The 24,925-nt window shown below is 36.0% G+C and overlaps 1 long non-coding RNA gene and 1 pseudogene across 1 annotated transcript in view; one reads left to right on the top strand and one right to left on the bottom strand.

Annotated features, from left to right (window-relative positions):
• The window catches only part of LOC105370314 (uncharacterized), a 29,410-nt gene that overhangs the window by 2,271 nt on the left and 2,214 nt on the right, over positions 1 to 24,925 (top strand). The gene's annotated exons all lie outside the window — the stretch shown is intronic.
• PPIAP23 (peptidylprolyl isomerase A pseudogene 23) lies at positions 17,920 to 18,656 on the bottom strand (annotated as a pseudogene).

Genomic DNA, 24,925 nt, shown 5'->3' on the forward strand with positions numbered 1-24,925 from the left:
GCACTTGTATGTTTACCACAGCACTATTCACAATAGCAAAGATATGGAATCAACCTAAGTGTCCATCAATGGAGGGTTAAAGAAAATGTGGTATAATTATACCATGGAATACTACTTAATCATAAAAAAGAAAGAAATCACCTCTTCTGCAGCAACATGGAAGAAATTGGAGGCCATTACCCAAAGCGAAATAACACAGAAATAGAAAGTCAAATACATGTTCCCACTTATAAGTGGGAGCTAAACAATGAGTACATATGGACAGGCAGAGTGGAACACTAGACACTGGAGACTACTAAGGGGAGGAAGGTGGGAGGGTGGGAGAAGGGTGAGGGTGGAAAAATTACCTATTGGGTACGATGTTCGGTATTCCGGTGGCAGTTACCCTAAAAGCCCAGACTTCACCACTATGCAATACATGCATGTAAGAAATCTGCACTGGGGCGGGCACGGTGGCTCACGTCTGTAATCCCAGCACTTTAGGAGGCCCAGGCAGGTGGATTACCTGAGATCAGGAGTTTGAGACTAGCCTGACCAACATGGTGAAATCCCATCTCTACTAAAAACAACAACAACAACAACAACAACAACAACAACAAAATTAGCCAGGTGTGGTGGTGGGAGTCTGTAATCCCAGCTACTAAGGAGGCTGAGGCAGGAGGATCACTTGAACCCAGGAGGCAGAGGCTGCAGTGAGCTGAGAGTGCACCACTGCACTCCAGCCTCGGCGACAGAGCAAGACTCCATCTCAAAAAATAAAAAGAAATAAAATAAAAAGAAATCTGCACTTGTACCCCCAAATCTATAAATCTATTTTTAAAATTTTTATAAAGAACACAGAGTCAGACATGTAAAATTCCAGTTTCAGCCACCTACAAATCATGTACTCTGGGTACTTTACTTATATTTTTAAGCCTCCATTTATTTATCTGTAAAGTGAATATAGTTGAGCAACAGAGACACGTAAGCTTCTATACCACTGGTAGAACCCCAGTCTGGAGCATGTTGCCAGCTCACAGGAAGCCAGGCCCCATTCACAAAATATGCCAAAGGGGCAGAATTTGTGTCATTTTATGGACTGGAGATTATTATTCTTGTGGACAACTTTCTACAGCTCTGACTTTCCTCCATCTCAGCTAGCAAAGGTGCCCTGTGATTTTCAGTGCCACTGACGTCCTTTTGTCATGAATGTAAGGAGAAAGAAGGAGCTGCATTGTGGAGTGCACTGGATTTTTTGAGAAAATTTGCTAATCACTAAGGATAATATTGCTGTGATGCATAGTGCCTTTATTCATTGTGGGTTTAACTTAATCCATGAACATTGTACATTTCATCATCATTTTTTCAGTTTGTTCCTATTGTTGTACTGGAGTTGGTGTATGTGAAGACAGCATTATCAAAAAAGAGAAAAGCTTATATCACTTCCTTACTTCTTTAATATCCTCTTCATTTTGGGATGACTTATTTTCCCTCCGTACCTTTTGCTAAAATCACGTTTAGTTGAAAGTGAGAAAGCAAAGACTATTCTTTGTTTTTCCTTTCTGGTGTCAAAAGCAAAAATTAAAATCAAGGAAGACACCAATACCATTAAACGTCTGTTATTTAACTCATTAAAATTGTTTGTGTCAATTGAATATTCAAAAATTATTTTCTATTTATGACTTTTATCATTTTTTATCTTTCTAGAACTAAATAGTTACACTAACCTATAAATATAAACACGAAAAGTTAACTCAGCTAACTCTCTCCTCCAAAATCTTTTTTAAGTACTAAAATTCACTCAACAGAAGACAATGATAAGAAATTCACTTATGTAAGACAATTAAGGTTATTTATCCTACACTACAGTAAACCTGTTGATAGCTCTCTAAGGTTTGTAGCATCTTAAACTTCAATGTACACAATGAGAACTTTTAATTTCTTTCCATTCTTTGGTATGAATTTAATGTTCATTTAGCTGTGAAACACGTGCACCTTGTGTGTTGAAATCCACTTCATCTCTTATAGCAAGCTTGTCCAACCGGCCCATTGGCCACATGTAGCCCAAGATGGCTTTGAATGTAGCTCAAAACAAATTCATAAACTTTCTCAAAAAATTATGAGGGGTTTTTTTGCGATTTTTTAAAGCTCATCAGCTATGGTTAGTGTTAGTGTATTTTATGTGTGGCCCAAGACAATTATTTTTCCAAAGTCGCCCAGGGAAGCCCAAAGATTGGACACCCCTCTCTTAGAGAGTTTTTCTCTTTCTCACTAAGCAGTGTGCATTCTAACTACAGAGGCTCTTTTAAATATTTAGTTCCAGTTACTTAAGATTAATTTAAATATTCTGGAACAGTTTCCCTCAAATGAAGACGTTTTCTATTATGCACACAAACCTACCTCAGAGCAGAAGTTACAAAATCAAACGCTACAGGAACAAACGTTTTGCTCATATAGCCCCTAAAGTAATTTCGGAAAAACTATGCATCCCTCACGTATTTTTAAGTCATCTAAAATTTTTCATTATGCGTTTAAATAATTGCAATGCATTTGTTTTTCAGCATATTGTAAATAAAACTTTTTTTTTTTTTGAGACGGAGTCTTGCTCTGTCGCCCAGGCTGGAGTGCAGTGGCACGATCTCGGCTCACTGCAAGCTCCGCCTCCGAGGTTCACGCCATTCTCCTGCCTCAGCCTCCGGAGTAGCTGGAACTACAGGCGCCCGCCACCACGCCCACCTAATTTTTTGTATTTTTAGTAGAGACGGGGTTTCATCGTTTTAGCCAGGATGGTCTCAATCTCCTGACCTCGTGATCTGCCTGCCTCGGCCTCCCGAAGTGCTGGGATTACAGGCGTGAGCCACCGCGCCTGGCCATAAATAAAACATTTTTAACAAAGCAGTTAAATCATGGTTTTAAATTTATCAAGTGGAAGCTAAACACTTTAATGATGTTATTTACCATCACCATTACAAAGAAAAGCTCATCTTTAACATTTAGAAATTTTATACATTTTCTTCTTTTCCTTTAAGTTGTATTTCCATTCGTTTTCTCCATTGAACTTTATTTGTATGTAGTGTATTATGCTTGAAAATTAAAAATCACAAAGTATTTTAATGATTATGCATCAGGCTTTTCTATAACTAATACATGTATATAAATTTTAATATATTCTATATTTTATAAACAATTGATTAAAACAACATAAATACAATACAAATCACAATGAACATAAAACGAAATTTTACTGTGAATGCATCTCTTGCATGACTTAGATGGGATTAGGTTTCCTTTTTTCAATTATTCCATATTTCATCTGGCCAGACTGATAAAGGGGTCAGTATCAATTCCGTTGCAATTTTTCATTTTAATTAATGTAATCTCTGAGAAACCTTATATAAACAAGTTTTGTTATTGTAGTGTCACTAAATTTTTAAAAAGTTTATGAGCTCTCTGTCAAAATCACATAACCATCTATCCTTAAAAGTTACTTTTTTATATGCTATCAGCTGTCTACTTTATTAAGTTCTCTTCCAAACTTGTTGAAAGCAAAGAATTGGAAACCACCTAAAGCGTAAAAGAATTTTGTGAGCCGGGCGCGGTGACTCACGCCTGTAATCCCAGCACTTTGGGAGGCCGAGGCAAGCCAATCACACGGTGGAGACCAGCCTGGCCAACATGGCGAAACCCCGTCTCTACTGAAAATACAAAAATTAGCTGGGTGTGGTGGCGGGCGCCTGTAATTCCAGCTATTAGAGAGGCTGCAGCAGGGGAATCAATTGAATCCAGGAGGCGGAGATTGCAGAGAGCCCAGATCTCGCCGTGCCACTGCACTCCAGCGTGGGCGACAGAGAGAGACTCCGTCTCAAAAAAAAAAATAGAATTTTGTTTGTGTCCTATCATTCCCTTACTCAATTTCTAGGAACGAAATAAAAAAGTCTTTGCCAACACTTATCAAATGATTATTAAATAGTTCTGTCGTTCTTTCACCTGGAAATATTTAGTTTAGCCCAAAAGACTCAAAAGAGTTGAGAAAATAAAAATATTGTTAATTTTGCAAATATAATGTTAATTGCACATATAATGTTTTAAGTAAAAGTTTTATATTATTATACTTTTAAAATATATTTTCATCGCAACTTGGACCTGCGGATTTAGCTTACATGATTTACAGAAAATAAGTATCATATCTAATTGATAGAACCATCCTCACTGTCAAATTAATCAACAAAATTAGACTTATATTCTTACAAAAACAAAAAGTCAGAACACCATTTTCAATTCAAATATATATAATAGGAGTTTCAGGGAATTATATAAATAAAAAACACTGACCAAGACGGACACTTAATTTGTAATAATGCAATCCAAGGTGTGTAGCTAACATTTTAAGTTATATATAGACTGAGAAGGATAATACACAGTGTAGTGGTCCTCTGGTGTGCAGATTTGAGGAACAATTAAAAATAATAATTGAGTATCAAAGTTATAGCTAAAGCCATTAATTTCATCGGACTTTATAATAATTTTGTTCCTGTTTATTTATAAAAGAGAAAGGTATATATTGCTAAATCATACCTGGATAGCAATCTGAAATAAGAAGAAAATTAAGATTGACTAAAGATAACTCTTTACGATTAAATTTTAAAAACTAAATAAATAAGTAGGTTTTTATTAGTTCAGTGTCTCTTATAAATACTCTTTAGTTGTATGAATAGAGAGACTTTCCCTCAATAGAATCATATATTTGTTCAAAATAAGTTTAATTAGTTAGCAAATGAGTAAAATAAACATTGTTCTCATAACCTTATTAAAGAATTTATCTGAATTTAAAGCATCAAATAGGGACCTCCTTTCTTACGCCTGGCTTCTCCAAGAACCCAAAAATGGAATACAGGAAGGACAAGCAGCTCCCGAGTTCTGTGGTGCTCTGATTAATCATTACAAGAGGCTTGTATAAAATAAATTGTATGCCCCAAAGCCCTACTCCACAGATAGATTTGGGATGGAAGAGGACACATCTTGTTTTCCATAGTGGAAGAAGGGTTATCATGAACTCAGGCAGGATCTCAGTCAGACTAATTTAGGAAAGAATACCAGAACTTGATAATCCAAAAACAGATTTCCTTAAAACCATTCAACCTGATTATTATTCTCACATACTCTCAGTCTCAAGGCACCTGGTATAAATGATGACTGGAGCCAGTTGTAAGTGAAGATGCATGCACTGCAAGAGGGGTGGGGCCAGTGGTGAACCAGAGGGTGCCAAGGGCCAGGTCTAAAAGGCTGCATTGGGAATAGAGAAAGTGTTGGCTTATCTTCAGATTTTAAGAAAATCTAGAAATCTCAATTTTTATTTCAAATAATCTAACTTTAAACTGTTGACTCAAAAACTTTGAAAAAAATTCTATGCACACCCAACAGAACACTTACTGCTACTTTTTGCTTTCTGCCATTGATAGTTTTCTTGTTGTTGCTCTTATTGTTGTTTTCGGCTTAAAATAAACACATTTTATTTCAAAGTATAAAAATATAAAGATGATAACTGTATAAGAATTTTATGTCATTTCTTATATATAAATATTACAGATGTTCAAGGTCAACTATAAATGAAATTAATGAAATTCAGAATAAATCTTGGTAGCTGTCATCTAGAAAATTCATTCATTCAGCAGTCATTGCTGAGTATCTTATTTGCAGGGACATACTAGGCACCCTCAAAATTCAAATTAAAAAATACATGAATCTTTAACACAGAAGATAAAGCTTAAAAATAAATAGCAATAAAGTTGATATGCCTTATGAATTAGAAAGGCATTTTTGAAATGCCTTTCTAATTAGAAAGGCTTATTTTGAAAGCAGGAATATGGACTCAAAGAGAAATATATGATTATTCCAACTAGAGTGTAGTATTCATTAATAGTTTCTTTTTTAAAAAGTATCTTCTGCTTTAAAAAATTGATGTATTTGAATCTCTAACAGTGTTAGATTATGAGTACTAAATATTTCTGCACAATATTTAGACAAAGAAAGCCAACAGAAAGAGAAAACAACTGCTACCAGTCTTGAAAACACCAGCGTTTTTCTGACATATATTGTATAAGTTATGGAAATAAACTTTTTATATCCAATAGAAATTTGACATATCCTATACTCTAAAATATGAATACTATTGTATAAGTGTACCCTTTCATAAAAATCATGCTAATAAAAGACAATGGCAGGATATATAAAATTTCCATTGCCTTTCAAGTTGCAGGCATTCGAAAATATTAAGTAACAGCAAACTGAGGGAAAGGGAAATAATCTTGAGCTCCCAATTCTGCAAGGAGAAACAAAAAAAAAGTTGACAGCTTTTATCCTTTTATTTATCCAGGCTGTATACAGCAGTGCTGAGGAGCACAGGGTTGATCATCAGACAGACTTTGCTAATCAGCCTGGGTTTTAATCTAGGCTCTAATTCTTAACAGTGGAGCCAGCTTTTCAAAGGGTTAGGTTTCAAAGTCAGTGAATAAGATGAAAATAAGGTATGCAAATTAAGCCACATTGGAAAACAACTCACTATCTCTTAATAAATCATAATTTCCAATTTTTTTCCTGCTTTGTTTCTTCCATTGAGTACCAGATAAGCTAGTTAGTGTATGTTTAAAAAATAAATAAACTCTAGTTTTTCACTCAGTGTTGACAGTGGAAAGGCGAGTGAAATCACCTGTATTATTTAATTTGTCATTTTGCTTTATCACATCTTCCTCCTTACAAGTATTACTGAATTCATGTGAGATTACTGACTATGCACATGTAATCCCACATCATGGTAAAGCCAGACAAGCTTCCTTAACAGTAAAATAATGAAAGTAACAACTCTTTCACCGAGATATTGAGAGGATTAAATGAGACAATATACATAAAATACTTAAGAGTGTGCCTGTCACATAGTAGTCACTTAATAAATTATAGTTATCATTAATTTAGTTCAGCACATAATTTTTCTTACAAATAAATATTAATGATAACAACAAGGTATTACCCTTCAAGTTTGAAGGAAGGGTCAAAGATCTGCTCCTGCTCCGAAACATGCACAAGGCTATTTTCATAAGGGGAATGATACCATCAGGGTTATGTTTTAGAAGGATGAACTGATACAGCCTCTGTTTGCCTCTCCAAATCCACTCTATGTCTTTTCCACCCTGCTTTGTGCCCGGGAAGGCTGACCTTTGTGGACTCCATCAACTGGTCTCCCTGGCTTCCAGTTTTGGTTTGTCCAATGAAGGACAATGGCAGGAGACTGAAGAGTGAGAGGAAGGTGAAGTCAGTGTTTGTTCCCCATTTCCCTCCAGGCAATGGTTCAGCAATGGCTGTGCTGAACCATGGTCTCTATCAAAGCCTACAGCTCTTGTCACCTGGCCTCCTATAGCTAGAACTTTCTCTTTTCTACTTGTGGTAGGTGCTTGGTACCCTGCCCTCAGGTAACTGCTTCCCTTCGTTGCATGAAGATTGATTGTAAAAGAAGACTGGAAGTAGAGAGAATGGTTACAAAGTACTTGTAGGTAGGAAATAATTAAGAGCTGACCAAAGTAGTGGATGATGAATCAGAGAAAACAAGACAGAAATAAGATACATTTCGAAAATATCTAATATAGGAGAGAAAAGCAACTATAACTAATTGGGTGAAAGAGCAAGGGATAAAATAAGTCTAAGAGGATGTCCACGTATTTTACTTCAGCAAATGAATAAAGACTGATACCATTCGCAGAGACAGCAAAGTAACATCATCTGATTTGCTCCCCCAACAACTCCTGGTTTCTATTATCACACTTTTCAAAATTGATCATTTGCTTCTTTGAGATACCTTTTGTATTTATCCAGTATTTGCTGGACAGCATAATTATATGAGATTTATCTGCATTGAGGCATGTATTCCTTTTTAGTGCTGAGTAGTATTTTATTGTGTAAACCACAGTTGTTTATACATTCACTGGTTGATGGACATTGGAGTTGTTTCCTGGCTTTCACTGTTACAAATAAGACTACTATGAACACTAATGCACAAGTCATTGAGGCTTGCATTTTTCTTACAGAAATATCTAGAATTTAAATGGCTTGGTTATATACAGGTATATCTATAACTGTTTAAGAAATTGCCAAAATGGTTTTCCAAAGTGGTTTCACCATTTTACATCCCATAAGCAATGTGTAAGGTTTACAGTTTCTCCATCTTTTTACCAACACTTGATAAGGTCATTCCTTTTAATTTTAGGTATTGTAATGGGTTTGCAGAAATAGTACATTGTATATTTATGTTGTATTTTCCTAACGAATAATGATGTTGAGCATCTAGTTATGTGCTTATCTGTTCATGTCATTTGCCCACTTTTTCATGGGATCGCGTTTTTTCTTGTTGAGTTGTTTGAGTTTCTTGTCAACCTTGGATATAAGTCCTTTGTTCAATGCACAGTTTGAAAATATTTTCTCCCATTCTGTAGGTTGTCTGTTTACTCTGTTGATTATCTCTTTTGCTCTGCAGAAGCCTTTTAGTTTAGTTCACTCCCACTTATCTATTTTTGGTTTTGTTGCATTTGCTTTTGAGGTCTTAGTCTTAAATTTTTTGCTTAGTCCAATGTCTTAAGAGTTTTTCTTAGGATTTCTTTCAGGGTTTTTGTATTTTCATGTCTTACATTTAAGGCTTTAATCCATCTTGAGTTAATTTTTGTATATGGTGAGAAATATGGATCCAGTTTTTTTTCTTCCGCATATGCCAATTTTCACCGGGTGTCCTTTCCCCATTGTGTTTTTTTTTTTTTTTTTTGGCTTTATCAAAGATCATTTTATTGTAGGTTCTCTATTTTGTTCCACTTATCTATATGTCTACTTTTGTGTCAGTGCTATGCTGTTTTGGTTACAATAGTCTTGTAGCATAATTTGAAATCAGGTAATGTGATGCCTCCACCTTTGTTATTTTTGCTTAGGATTGTTTGGACTATCTGGGCTCTTTTTTGGTTCCATACGAATTTTAGGATTATTTTTTCTAATTCTGTGGCAAGTGATATTGGTAATTAGATAGGAATTGCACTGAGTCTTACATTGCTTTAGAATATGTGACCATTTTAATGACATTGATTCTTTCAATCCATGAGCATGAGATGTTTTTCCATTTGTGTTATCTACTATTTCTTTTATTGGTGTTCTGTAATTCTCCTTGTAGAGATCTTTTACCTCTTTGGTTAGCTGTACTCCAAAGTATTTTATTTAATTTTTTGTGGTTACTATAAATGAGACTGAGTTCTTGATTTGCTTCTGAGATTGAACGTTATTGATGTGTAGAAATGCTACTGATTTTTGTACATTAAGTTTGTAACCTGAAACTTGACTGAAGTCATTTATCAAGTCTAGGAGTCATTTGGAGGGGTGTTTAGTGTTTTCCAGGTATAAGATCATGTCATCAGTGAACAGAGATAATTTGACTTCCTCTTTTCCAATTTGGATGTTTTTTGTTTGGTTTTTGTTTTTGTTTTTGTTTTATTTCTTTCCCTTGCCTGGTTGCTCTGGTTAGGATTTCCAGTACGATGTTGAATATTATTTGAATCTTCTCTCTTTTTTCTTGGTTAGTAGAGCTAGCAGTCTATTGATTTTCTTTATCTTTTCAAAGAAACAACTTTTTATTTCATTGATCCTTTGTATTTTTTTGTCTCAATCTCAGTCCTGCTCCGATCTTTTTTATTTCTTTTCTTCTTTGTCTAGCTCCTTGAAGTATGACATTAGGTTGTTAACTTAATTTTTTTCTATCTTTTTTATGTAGATATTTTGCTATAAACTTTCCTCTTAGCACTGTTTTTGCTATATCTTAGAGGTTTTGCTATGTTGTGTCTCTATTTTTATTCGTTTCAAAAATTTTTTTGATTTCTGCTTTAATTTCATCATTTACCTGAAGATCATTCAGGAGCAAGTTGTTTGGTCTCCAAGTGTTTCTATAGCTTTCAGAGTTTCTGGTGGTATTGATTTCTAATTTTATTCCACTGTAGTCTGAAAAGATATGCAACGTGATTTCAGGTTTTTAAAAAACTTATTGAGATTTTCTTTATGGCCAAGCATATGGTTTATTTTCAAGAATGTTCCATGCCCAGATGAGAAAAATGTTTACTCTACAATTGTTTTGTGGAATATTCTGTAAATGTCTATTAGGTCCTTTTGGTCTGGCAACCAGTTTAAGTCCAGAGTTTCTTTGTGGATTTTCTGCCTTAGTGATCTGCCTAGTGCTCTCAGTGGTGTTTTGAAGACTTCAGTATTATTGAACTGCTCTCTGTCTCTTTACTTAGGTCTAGGAGGATTTGTTTCATGAAGCTGGGTGGACTGCTGTTGGGTACATATAAATTTATAATGGTTATATCTTCATGTTGAATTGAACCCTTTAACATTATATAATAATCTTATCTTTTTAACTTTCATTGATTTAAGGTCTGTTCAATGTGATATAAGTATAGCTACTCCTGCTTGTTTTTGTCTTATGTTTGTCTGGTATATCTTTTTCACCCCTTTATTTTGAGTCTGTGTGTGTATTTATCTGTTAGGTGGGTCTCTTGTCGGCAGCAAATGGTTGAATCTTGTTGTGTTTTGTTCTATCCAATTTTCCAGTCTATACCTATTAACTGGAGCATTTAGGCCATTTACGTTCAAGGCTAATATTGATATGTGAGGTTTTGTTCCTGTCATAATGTTGTTACCTAGTTGCTTTGTAATCTTGATTGTGTAATTTCTTTGTAGGGTGTGACCTTTGTACTTATGTGTGCTTTTATAATCCTGAGTACATCCTTTCCCTTCATTTTTATGTTTAGAATTCATTTGAGCATTTCTTGGAGAGCCAGTGTACTGGTAATAAATTCCATTAGCATTTGCTTATCTGAGAAAGATTTCATTTCTCCCTCATTGATGAAGCTTAGTTTAGCAGGATATGAAATTCTTGGCTGGCATTGTTTTCTTCAAAGAGGCTGACAATAGGACCCCAGTCCTTTCTGGCTTTTAAGGTTTCTGCTGAGAAGTCAACTGTTAGTCTAATGGGATTTCCTTTATAGGTGCTTTGATGCTTCTCTCCAGCTGCTTTTAGGATGTATTCCTTCATGTCAATTTTGGATAGCCTCACGAACATATGCTTTGATGAGCCTTGTCTTGCAGAGATTATTCCAAATGTTCTTTGAAGTTCCCGTATCTGGATATCTAATTATTTATCTAGAACTGGGAAGTTTTCTTGATCATTTTGTCAAATACATCTTCCAAATTTTCTATTTTTTACTTCTTCTCCCTAGGAATGCTTATAAGTTATAGTTTTGGTCACTTTACATAATCCCATATTTCTTGAAGGCTTTTTCATTTTTAAAATTCATTTCTCTTTATTTTTGTCTGACGGGGTTAATTCAAATAATGGGTCTTCAAACTCTAAAATTCTTTCCTACACGTGGTCTACTCTGTTGTTAAATTTTCTACTATATTTTATAATTCTTCCAATAAATTTTTCTTTTCCATAAGTCCTGTTTTTTTATGTATCTATCTCTTTAGCAAATTTTTCATTCCTATCCTGTTTTCACAATTTCTTTGTTTTGATTTTCAACTTTGTCTTGGATATCATTGAGCTTCTTTATGATCTGTATTTTGAATTATTTATCTGTCATTTCAGAGTTTTCATTTTGCTTATGATCCATTGCTAGAGATCTAGTGTGATTCTTTGGGGCGTCTAAACACTCTGTCTTTTTTTTTAATTTTAGATTCAGGGATACATGTGCTTGTTTGTTACATGGATAGTACATGCTTAATAGTGGAGATTGAGCTTCTAGTGCACCCATCACCCAAATATTAAACATGTATCCAAGAGGTAATTTTTCAACCCTAACTCCTCTCTCACCCTCTCTCCTTTCAAAGTTCACAGGACACACTGTCTTTTTGTACTGCTAGAGTTTTTACAATGATTCCTTCTTATTTGAAGAAGCTGTCACTTCTTATATTTGAATTTGCTTTCATTTGGATTGGATTTTTAAATTTGTATTATCCTCTCCCTTGAGGTTATAACTGTAATGTATGTTGTGTGTCATCATTTGGCTTCAAGACTGGGCACTTTCAGGGGACCAAGACTCCCTATGAGTTCCTTGGTTGTAGATGACTTTTGCATAAGTGGTTTTCTCAAATTCTGGTTGTTGTAACAATGTATGGAGTGTATAAGCCAACTAACTGTCTTCCACAGGGCTGCAGATGTCTCAGCAAGCTTATCTAGTTCCTTAGCACTATGCCCTTGTGTCAGTAGGTTTTTCTTTTGGTTGTGCATTTCAGTCTCCAGCCCAGTACGTGGCACTTACAAGTAAGAGCTGACTCTTCCTCGGATACCCCAATAATGAATGAAATCACTTGTCTTGACAGGGATTGGGGGGATACCTCCTGGTGGGATGCTCTGACATCTTTGTAGGGGGTGTGCAAGAGGGGGCTGCATCAGTTTCTCATCCTGCCAGGAAGAAACATGATCCACTTCCCTATCAGACCCCATCCCAGGGCTTACAACCTTCAGTTCACATAAGTACTGTCTTTTACTTCCAGGCCACAGTGCAACTGAGGTCTGTGAAAAATGCGTATCCCACAACTACCACTGAAATGGCTTCAGGGTGGAACCTCTTTCCTCAGCCCAAAACAGACAGCCCTCAGCTGGTCTACATGCCACTGCAGGAACACTGCCACTCTGCATAGAAAGGGAGAGATGAATCCTTCCCTTTGTGCAAGCCTGGGCCAGTGGGCTCACTTTCAGTGGGGGTACATCACCCTGCATGGCACTGGAAGGACTTTCTCCAAGTCCACCCATGCCAGCTCCCAGTAGGAGAGGTCACAGTTGTGTCCATAACAGTGGACAGGGGGAGCAGGAGAAGACTTCCTCTCCATGTTAATTCCTGGCCAATGGTGCTGCTTGCTGCTGAGGCAGAACAAACCTTCTCGGCTTCAGAGACTAGCACCACACCCATGTCTCCATTGGGAGGGGTCCAGTCACTGTCTGGTCACAAGCAGGAGGGCTCTCATGCAGGGAAAAGCAGACAATCTGGTTTCCTTTGTTTCAAGAGGTCTTTTAGTGGACTGCAATTCCCCTTCCTCTAGGAGAAGCCCATGCTGAGAGCTAGATCTCCGGGGATTCCACAGCTCCCCAGGGTGCTGCCAGTCCCTTGTGGCTGCCACAGAGTGGGTTCTGAGAAGTGTTTGTGGGGGATCTAGTGATGCAGAGAAACATAAGCTGAGATTTCCTTGGCAGGATAGTGGTCCACAATGTTTGCACAGCAATATGGCACTGGTCACCTCACCTTGCATTTGAAGGAAGAGCCAGCAAACTTGTGCAAGATGGCTGCCCTGTGATCTGCTTTCCAGAAGTTCACAAACTGCCACTCACAGCAGTGCCTCTCAGGGACAGAGGGGTTCTCTGACAATTCAGCAGTCAGCAGTTTACCGCTGGGATGTGGGAATAAACATACACCCCCATCTACCCTTTCCATGGGACTCCAATTTCCTCAGGGATTAATCTTTGCCAGACTCTTGCTGCTTTGCTTTTCTGCACCTCAGCTTCTTCCTGTGAGTTCTCTGACGGGTTCCAACTCCTTTCCCTCAGCACTCCACTCAGGCCATGATCATTCTCCCGTAACTTTAGACCTTCTTTCTGACAACTGGTATACAACGTCTCTAGTAAGCCACGGTTTAGGAGACCGGAAAGTCCAATTTCCAAGCAGATTCAGTGTCTGGTGAGGGCCGTCTTCCTGGCTCATAAAAGATGTCTTCTACCTGTGTCCTCATATTGTACAGAGCCATATGCCCTCTTTAGTGAAGTGTCTGTTCAAATCTCTTGCCCATAAAATCGGGGCTTTTTTGCTTGTTTTCCAACTGAATTTTGAGAATTCATTAAATATTCTGGATCCATATCTTTATTAGACATACGATTTGCAGATATTTTCTTCCAGTTTGAGGCTTATCTTTTCATTCTTTTACCATGTTTTTGGAAGCGGAGAAGATCTTAATCTTGGTGAAGTCCGATTTATCACATTTTTGTTTTATGAATCGTGCTTTCATATCACAGCTAAAAACTCTCTCCGTCAAGAGTACGATAATTTCCTCCTGTGCTTCCTTCTAAAAGTTTTATAGTTTTAGAACTTATATTTAAGTCAATGATAAATTTTGAGTTAAATTTTGAAATTGTATGAGGTAAGATTATACTTAACTTTCTTATTTTTTACCTATGGAATATCCATGTGTTTCAGTATTAATTTTTGAAAAGACTATCCTTTCTAAACTTTTTCAAGAATCAGTTGATAATATGTGTGAGTGTATTTCTGGACGCTATTCTGTATTATGATTCAATTTGTCTATCTTTACTCCAATACTACACTGTCTTGATTACTATCGTTTTTAAGTCTTGAAGACAGGTAATTTCAGCCATCCAACTTTGTTCTTTTTCAAAGAGTTTAGTTCTCTACATTTTCGTATAAATTTAAGAATCAGGTTAACAACTTCTACAAAAAAGCCTCCAGGACTTCAAGTGGGACAATGTTGAATCTATAGAACAATTTAGGGAGAACTGATATATTAATAATACTTGAGTTTTCCAATCCATTAATATGGCATATGTCTTCATTTATTAAATATTTTAGAATAATCTCAATAATGTTTTGTAGTTTTCAGTGTACAGATCTTGCACACCTTTTTCAGGTTTATCCTTAAACATAAACAACTTGTATTGCGATTATGAAAATAATTTTTTTAATTTTAATTTCCAAGTCTCCATTACTAATATATTTTGGGAGACAATTCTCCAAGAATATTTTTACGGTCCAGGCCATCTGAAGAAAGGGTGCTACAAGATGTTTGCATAACTGCCTAAAAAGCTAAAGATAGTGTTTCTTCTCTTCAGTTCTCTTCAATGTTCTGAAAGAGCCTGTGTGTAGATGGCATTTCCTCTCTAAATGTTTTCAAGGATTTACCAGTGAAGCTCTATGGGCCTGGAACTATATTTACAGAAAGGCTGGTAACTAAAAGTTCAATTCTATAGTGAAGGCAGGGCTACTTGTGTATCAATTTATTTTTGAGTGAACTGTGGTAATTTTTACCTTTCTAGGAACTTACTCACTTTATCTGTTTTGTTGAGTCCATTGGCATAAAGTGGCTCATAATATTTCCTTATAACTTTTTTAATAACTTTGAAATATCACGTAAAAGAACGTTATAAACACTCTCATTCCTGAGGTTTTCTCATAGTGTTTTCTCTGTTTTTTTTTTTAACCTTACTTTTTCATGGTCCATTAATTAACTCTCAGCTTTATGTAAAACTATGACTCCACTGCTAAAGTGTACATTGTAATCCTAGGTGGCTTTATCTTCCTCAGCTTGACAAATATTCATTTCTTCTTTCAAAATTTGTTATTATTTAATTATATTGGAAAGGGGTCCCAATGTTTTTAAGCCTTTAAATCCATTAAATAAATGCTAAGTCAGGATTTTTCTTATATGGACACGTAAGTTTTAGAAAGTAATTATATCTCTACATAAACTGTGAACCCTGCTCAAAAAATTAGCAAATGCTTACATGCTGAGAACCTAAATATCAAAATATAAAGAAAATGGAGCCTCTAAAAAATCTTTTATTACTCTGGGTTTTTATAAGCATTCCTTTTTATAAGCAAACTGAATTTGTGTGCACCCAGCACTAGGGTTCATTCTAAGAGAAAATTGAAAAAAATGCCTCATCACCCACTTGCCTCAAGGACACAATTAACTAAAACGAAAATATGTTGATGTTTGCCTAACCATTTTAGTTTTAACCCAATACTTAACATTACATATGCATACAGGGTATTAATAGAATAATTGTGATTTTTCAATCATTAGCATGAAAACAGTAGACTAAAACATAGGCATATTATGTAAATAGAGAAGAAGTAACAAGGAAAAATGTCTTGACTCAAATTTGCAAACTTCTGTAAATTTTTGTGGGCCTAAAGATTGAGAGATTGTTTAGTACTACTACTGAATTTCAGAATAATTTTGCATTATACTGAAACTCTAGACTGCTCTTGATTCTTCTGAAGCTTTTGTTTAGATTTCCAACTCCTACTGTTTCAATAGCTATCTGGAGATTATTCTATTAAGAATCAGATATTGGGAAGTCACATTTGTTTTAAATACATATTTTCTTCTGTATGGTTTTCAGAGTGATTTTCTTCTGTGCCTGGAGGGGAGTGAAAATCCGTCATTTCTCTAACAGGAAGCCAGAGAAATACCCAGCTTAGATATATGGTCATGTGCAGTTTCCTGTTACATTCCAGGAATTGTTCTTGGGTATAAACAGTCATCTTCCAGGGGGCAGGTCATGGCTGCATCTGCCTTGTCTATCACTCTATATTTGTAGAATATATGAAATATCCGGCTAAGAGCTGTTAATTCTGATATAGCACAAAGTCTCCATTTATTGAACGTGTCAAACTTTTGCCAAGCTCAGTTTAGTAAGCACAACTTTTAGGCAAACGGAATGTCATTATTGATTGGATTCCATGCATCGTTTTCCCCAAATAAAGCATCTTTGAGTTGATTGATTTTACCATGTTGAAAAGCATGTTTTAATGGGGAATTTCCACAAAACTGTGTTAAGCTTTCCAGTATCTGCAAACTATAAACAAAATAAATAAGACCTGTCTATAAAAATGTCTACAACATAATCAGAATACAAGAATATTTGATTTGAGAAATATTGAAAAATAAAACACAATCTTCTGAATAATACATGTTATATTAGTTATGAGTTAGGATTTTACTTCATAGAGACATAGAATCCTATACTCAATGACTAGATAGAAATGTGGATAGGAGATGAAGGATTAATCCCCAAGTTGATTAAAGGTATAAACTCTGTTACATAGCCAAACACTTGGCTGTGTAAATGTAAATTAAATAAAGTTATTATCTTAATTCCTCAGACTCACCAGCTACATTTCAAGTGCTTAACAGTCACATATGGTTAGTGGCTATCATATTATACAGTCTAGATATAGAACATTTCCATCATCACAGAAAGTTCTATTGGACAGCAATGGTATTCAGAATATAACACACAAAGAAATATTTTTAAAACTAAGATTGTTGTTCTTAGAAAAAAAGGAATGAGCATATGAAATGAGCATACAATGTGAAAATTTTTAAGCTGTTTCTATATAGTTTCAAAAAATGGTTTCAGTGTCTCACTCAATTTTTTAACTAAATTGATAAGATGCTTTAAATATCATTACATAGTGCAGAAGGGCAAATATAAATGTTCTGAGACATTAAACATATAATTTGGGGGGATACATAAAGAAAAGAATAACAAATTAGTTACTCAGGAGAACAATATTTTCAGAATGAAAAATGAAATCACAATAAACTGCAAAATTTTAAAAAACTGACAACTATCACAAACATCAGACATTCAAAAAATATTTTTATTGACTGTGTAGTGTACCTTTATATGTTCCATATTTTGCCTCATCATATGACAATGGTTCTATGTAACTTTATAGAGAAAAAATAGAGAGATAATTCAATCTGCCTTCTAGGATGGTCAATTGAATTTTTTAAAAATGAAGTTAGGATGCACAAAAATATAACTTCATACAGACATGTGCTTTTTTTAGTACCCATAGGTTTGTGCCCTATAAAAACACATTCTGATCAATTCTCCATTGTATAATTCCCCCAAAAATGAAAAAATATATGATACACTGATCATTGTATATGCTACATTATCAAATATTCCTAATAAGGGAGATTTTCCATTTTGATTAGGTATTGGATTAGGTGTTGATGAGAACCAATTCTCTGCCTATAATTTTACATGTCTGACAAATAGAAAAATCTTCCATAGATCAGCTTCTAGATCTGAACATTTCAACACTCATTTTTTTTGTTATTTAGTTTTTATTCCATAATCATAAATTTAACTTTGCAATCCAGGTAGGCATGGAAGGGAACAAGGAAAACATGGAACCCAAAGGGAACTGCAGAGACAGGGCAAAGATTCTAGGATTCTGCAAGCAAATGGGGTGGAGGACTGTTCTCCTGAGCTACAGAAGGAATGGTCTGGTGGTTAAGATAAAATACAGGTCAAATTTATTTGAGTTGTCCACTGTCAGCAATGGTGACCTTCTTGCTGGTCTTGCCATTCCTGGACCCAAAGTGCTCCAGGGCCTCCACAATATTCATGCCTTCTTTCACCCTGCCAGAGACCACATGCTTGCCATCCAACCACTCAGTCTTGGCAGTGCAGATGACAAACTGGGAACCATTTGTTTTGGGCCCAGCATTTGCCATGGACAAGATGCCAGGACCTGTATGCTTTAGGATGAAGTTCTCGTCATCAAATTTCTCCCCGTAGATGGACTTGCCACAAGTGCCATTATGCATGAGAAGTCACCACCCCGACACATAAACCCTGGATTAATTCTGTGAAAGCAGGGACCCTTATAACCAAATCCTTTCTCTCTAGTGCTCACAGCATGAAAGTTTTCTGCTGTCTTTGGAAACTTGTCCACAAACAGCTCGAAGGAGATGCGGCCCAAGGGCTCGCTGTTGACAGTGAAGTCGAAGAACACAGTGGGGTTGACCATGGCTGATAGTACAGGGCTCACAGCGGCGGTGGCATCTGCAAAGCCTTTAACCCTTATTTGTTCCCACTTCCCATGTAGGTCCAGTGGCAAGTGTCACAGGACAAGCTCATTTGATTTTAAAATGTCTGGTCCTACATCTTTATTTCATGACACTATGTAAGTCACCAGTGGGTACCAAGTAGTAATACTCCTGGAAACAATTCCTGTCATGGGATAACTAGCAACAACTGAACTACACATAGAAGTGAGTCTGTGAACTACAAAAATATGTCCACCACACCAAAATACACGTATTCAACATTAGACTTCCCTTTAGCTGATCCGCAAATGCCCATGACCATTCTCCTGCTATCTAGCACCAAGAGAAAGCATGATAACAGTAAGTATGGATGAGTGACAGTAATCCAACTAAGCACAATTAAAATATCTTAATTTTGCAAATGTTATGAAAATATACGTCCATGCAACACAATGCTGGGATCCCTCCCAAGGCCCTGTAAGGGACCCCTGCAAGTGAGAAGCTGAGAAGCTAGACTCCATTGGTAAATCTAGCTCTGATAAAGGATGCATTCTTTACCAGCACCAAGAACTGAGGAATAGAGTTTGAAATATAAGGATTCCAATTAAATATGAGATAGCTTTCCTGTCAGTGTTGCTGAATGTTGACATTATGACTGAATAGATAAAGACTTACAAGTTCAATATTCTAGAAGCTGCTTACCTTTCAGTTCTTTTGCCCTTGTTTAAAATGCAGAACCTGCTCAACTTCTGATAAGGTTAAATCCTGATAAATCTATCATAAGTTGAACATATCCTAAGTCAAAAATGCATTTAAGGCCGGGCACGGTGGCTTGCGCCTGTAATCCCAGCACTTTGGGAAGCCGAGGCGGGTGGATCACTGAGCTCAGGAGTTCAAGACCAGCCTGGTCAAAATGGTGAAACCCCATCTCTACTAAAAATACAAAAAATTAGCCAGACCTGGTGGAGAGTGCCTGTAATCCCAGCTACTCTGGAGGCTGAGGCAGGAGAATCACTTGAACCTGGGAGGCAGAGGTTGCAGTGAGCCAAGATCGCACCACTGCACTCCAGCCTGGGCAACAGAGTGAGACTCCATCTCAAAAAAAAAAAAAAGTATTTAATACACCTAACCTACCAAACATCATACCTTAGCCCAACCTACCTTAAACGTGCTCAGAACACTTACCTTAGCCTAGAGTTGGACAAAATCATCTTGCAACATGGGGCAACGTAGCATATTGGTTGTTTAACCTTGGGATCCCGTGGCTGATTGACAGCTGTTGTTGCCCAGCATCACAAGAGTATTGCACCACATACTGCTGGCATGGGAAAACATCAATACTCAAAGCACTGTTTCTGTGTAATGCATATCACTTTTGTACCATCTTAAAGTTGAAAAAAATCATAACTTGAACCATAAGTTGGGGACTGTCACACAATAAGTGGTAGCTTCTAAAATTTTCATGATTCAACATCCACATTTCTATAACACAAGGTAATTGGAAAACAAGTCACAATGATATATGTCTACCTTAAATAATTATTTATGCTATCAGAGAAGCATAGCCATTCATGAATGAAGCATATTTTGAAGAGGTTAAAAAGGAAACTAAAGGTAACACTAGGCACTCACTTTATTTATCTTCAATTATTAGTCAGGCTTTATCAAATTCCTGTTCTATCCTTTGCTAAGAACAGAACAGTTTTTCCTCCTCTCTCTGTTGTCAGGTCACAAACAAAAGTCTGCTATTATGTGACTACAAAAACATTTGGTTTTTCCTTTGCTAAAAAAAGATAGGCTACATTTTCTCATTTTATTTGTCTTTCCCGGTTCTATTCATTACAAAAACAAAAACAAAACACAAAACAGCTGCCCCAGAAGGATGTTAGGTAGATACCGAAAACCAGAGATCTCCTCAACAGTCCGTTGTCTCCAGCCTGCTTATACTGGGCAAAAAATAAACACCACAGTCGGGCACGGTGGCTCACGCCTGTCATCCCAGCACTTTGGGAGGTTGAGGTGGGCAGATCACGAGGTCAGGAGTTTGAAAACAGCCTGACCAATATGGTGAAACCACATCTCTACTAAAAATACAAAAATTAGCTGGGCGTAGTGGTATGCACCTGTAATCCCAGCTACTAGGGAGGCTGAGATAGGAGAATCGCTTGAACCCAGGAGGCGGAGGTTGCAGTGAGCCGAGATTGCGCCACTGCACTCCAGCCTGGGCAACAGAGCGAGACTCTGTCTCAGTAAATAAATAAATAAACAAACAAATAAACACCACAGAAAATCAGCAACTGTTTTTGCCCCTATTGAGTTTTCTCTGCAGCAATTGCTAGTCTATATTTATTTCACATACAGAGTATTCTCACTCTAAACTGTATTCCTCCGCCCTAAAATCACGAAATTAATAACATCCTCATTTATTCATTTCTATGGCAACCATCGCACAGTGGAATAGACATATCTACTCCTTGGTAAACTCAACTTGTAAAAGATCATATAGTTTAAACTTTTGTGTGTATATAAAAACAAAATTTTAAACAGATGCATTTGATCGGAGCACATTAAATGTTCTAAAAAGTGACATGAAATTGTTTCTTCACAACTGGAAAAAAATGAGTAGCTAAAACTGAATTTTTACAAAGCGTGATGTGTAAAGTTGGTTTCGAAATCACCAAATATTTTCTCAGTAATCATAAGCATTGCTAATGGAGTCTACAAAAGTAACTAGACTTTTCTATTATAGAAGACTGTAATCTAGTTGTAGAAAAGGACAATAAAGATATTTTAGGTAATAATAGCATTCACCTAATAATAAACACAAAAATATATAGGAAAATTCAGAAAAGACATGATTATTATGTGAATATATGCACACTTTAACTAAACCTGAGGAAAAGATTCAAGTTACTGTTTTGGGAGAAGGTATGAAATGAACACACAGAAAGAGGCAGAAAAGCAGAAGACATTTGAAAAGAGAGATGATCCACTTTATTTCTAGTCCAAAGTTAGCATGGGGAAATGTCAGGAGAAAAAATTTAAAAAAAATAAAAAATAAATGTGGAGAAGCAAAATATGAAGGTGGGGCTTGAAATAAGTATTTGATTCTATATATAATGTAAATCCACTAGAGAAAAACCTTATAGATTAACAAAGCAATACATATAATAATTTAAGAAAAGAAATCTGGTAGTGCTATCAACATCCTATCAATTATAAAGGAAAGATTGACCTGTTGCTGGCAATTGGAATACATTTCTGTTTATGTCTTCTGCCAACAAATTTAATACCTTTTCTGTCTTAACTAAGCACTGTAACTTTTGCAGTTTGAGACGCAACAAAAAAACTAGCATACATTTCTTCTTTTCTTCTTTACAATATCATAGGTAGATTAGTTTTTACCATAGATCTTAGGCAAAGAAATTCAGTCTATTATTAGAATCCCATATGTTGACACATTCTTGAGTTCAGGAAAAAGTTTATCTAGTCATAAGGAAATATTTTTATACTTATGATTAATCATATGAAATAGCATTTTATTGAAAAATGTTATGTCTCTATACATTGATGAGATTGATGTATGGTGTTCTTTAGCATGGAATATTGGTCATTTTATTGATGATATAATTTACTGAATGTATTCTATGTGTCTAAAACTGTGCCAATTATTTTGTATCCATCTATATGTCACTTCATGCTTATAGCAACTCTTTGTTTTACAGAAAGTGAAATTTGAGCCTATAGGTGGCCACTTTCCCTAGGCTACACAGTCAGTAAGTGGCAGAGAAAGAATGTGAACCCAGTCTGTCTCATTCAGAAGCTGGCACTCTGACCACAATGCTATGCTATCATACAGGATAAATCAAGAAATTTCTGATCTTTCTATTTATTCTAGAACTGGTTTTATATAAAAAAATAGTTTATCTAAATGCTGAAAGAATTCTTGAGAGAATCTAGTGGATCTAACTGTGTTTGCATGGTATACACTATTCATATATAAACTTGATTTACATTAATCAATTCAATTCTATCTATGGAGCACTTAGTATGTTCTGTGTGCCCAATGTTAGGGCTAGAAAACAAATATGATCTAGTCCTTTCTCTAAATAGCTCACATTCTGGTGAGGGAAATAAGAATATAAACAAGTACATTAAAATATCTGAAATTTAGAATTTCCTAGAGATTCTCAACAGCAGATTTCAACTTACACAAGAGAGAATTGGCAGACTTTAAGATACGTCAATTGAGATTATCCAATCTAAGAAGCAGAAATTAAAAAGAATTTTTTAAAAAGATGAATAGAGCATCAGAGAACTGTTAGACACCATCAAGCATTGCAAACACATGCATAATGAAAGTTCCAGAAGGAAAAGAGAGAGATAAACGGGAAGAAAGAATATTTGAAGAAACAATTGCTGAAAACTTCCCAGATTTAATGAAAAATGTTAACCTCCTAATAGAAGTATCTCCACAAATTCACAGTAGAATAAACTCAGAGATCCACATCTAGACACATCATAATCAAACTGTCAAAAAAACAAAGAAGCAACTCATCATGTACAAAGAATCTTCAAGAAGATTAACAGATGAGTTCCCATCAGAAATCATGAAGCCAGGAGACTATGGAATTGTACAGAGCAGTCTCCCATTATTCACAGGGGATATATTCCAAGACCACCAGTGGATGCCTGAAACTGCAAATAATACCAAACTCTCTTGCTGTTAATTGGAATACGTTTCTGTTCATGTCTTCTAACCACAAATGTAATACCTTTTCTGTCTTAAGTAAGCACTGTAACTTTTGCAGTTTGAGATGCAACAACAAAACTAGCATAAATTTCTTCTTTTCTTCTTTACAATATCATACGTAGATTAGTTTTTACCGTAGATCTTAGCAACCTCAGCACACAATTTTTCTTCTTTTCATATCAGGTCAAGGACTTTCAGCTTTTCACTTAAAGAAGGCACTTTATGGCTTCTATTTAGCATATCTAAATTGCCAGCATCACAACCCTTCTGCTTTAGGAACATTTTAAGTTAAACGAGGGTCATTTAAACACAAATACTGCGTTATTACTACAGTTGATCTGATAACTGAGACTGCGACTAAGTGACTAATGAACAGGTACTGTGTACATCATGGATACTTTCCAAAAAAAAGATGATTTGTGTACTGGGTGGGATGGAGCAGGATGGTGCAAGATTTCATCATTCTATTCAGAACGGTGTGCAATTAAAAACCTATGAATTGTTGATTTCTGCAATTTTCCATTTAATATTTCCAGACTGCAGTTAACCATAGGTAACTGAAACTGTGAAAAGTGAGACCATGGATAAGAGAGGGCTATTGTATTCAAAATGCTAAAAGAAAAAGACTGTCCGTGAAGAATGTTATGTTCAGCGCAATTTACATTGAAAAGACAAAGGGTAAATTAAGGAATTCTCAGATAAGCAAAAACTTTAAAAACTGGTCTCTAACAGACCAACCCTATAAGAAATACAAAAACAAGGTTTTCAGGCTGAAATGAAAGGATATTAGACTAGCTCTAATTCACATGAAGAAAGAATACCAATAACACTAATACACAGGTAAACATAAAAGACAATATACGTGTATTTGTGTTTATTTTATGCAGTTTAGTCTTTCAAAAAATTCCCTCCAGAGAACATCAACACAAATGAAACATTTTTGTTTCATTTCTTCCTAATTTGGTCTTGAGGTGCCTGTCTTGAGAATAGCCATAAACTCTAGCCCTATCCTGATGAAGACCCCAGGGATTTGGTTATAGAAGTTCAGTGTGCCTTTCCCAGATACTTCTTTATCCTGACGGACTGCCTAATGTCTAGCCCATGACCAGATGTCCTCACAGGACATTTGTTTATACTGGCAGGTACCATGTGGCTCCTGTCTGACCTGTATAATATTTGTGCCAAGATAGCCAATCTCTAGAAAAATAACTATGACTGGGAGGAAATTTGCATCCAAGTGTGTCAGTCAGGAGAGACACAGAGAAGACACACAACAAAATACACGAAATAACAGAAGTCGTTTATTACTTACAGGTCCAAGAGAGAAGGGGGTTACTAATCAAGGCTGATGGGAAGATCTCAGGGGAATTGTGCTCAACCAGAAGACGGAGAGGCAGAGAGAGGTAGATCTGTAGGCTGAATCCATTTGAGTATACAGCTAACTATATAAGGTCTAAGTATAGACCTGAATCCATTTTGAGTATAGGGTTAACTGTCTCATACTAGAAACAGGATTTAGTCACCCTTGATGCAGGCTGA

This window comes from Homo sapiens, chromosome 13 (genome assembly GCF_000001405.40).
Source record: "Homo sapiens chromosome 13, GRCh38.p14 Primary Assembly".
In the NCBI taxonomy this organism is placed as follows: domain Eukaryota; kingdom Metazoa; phylum Chordata; class Mammalia; order Primates; family Hominidae; genus Homo; species Homo sapiens.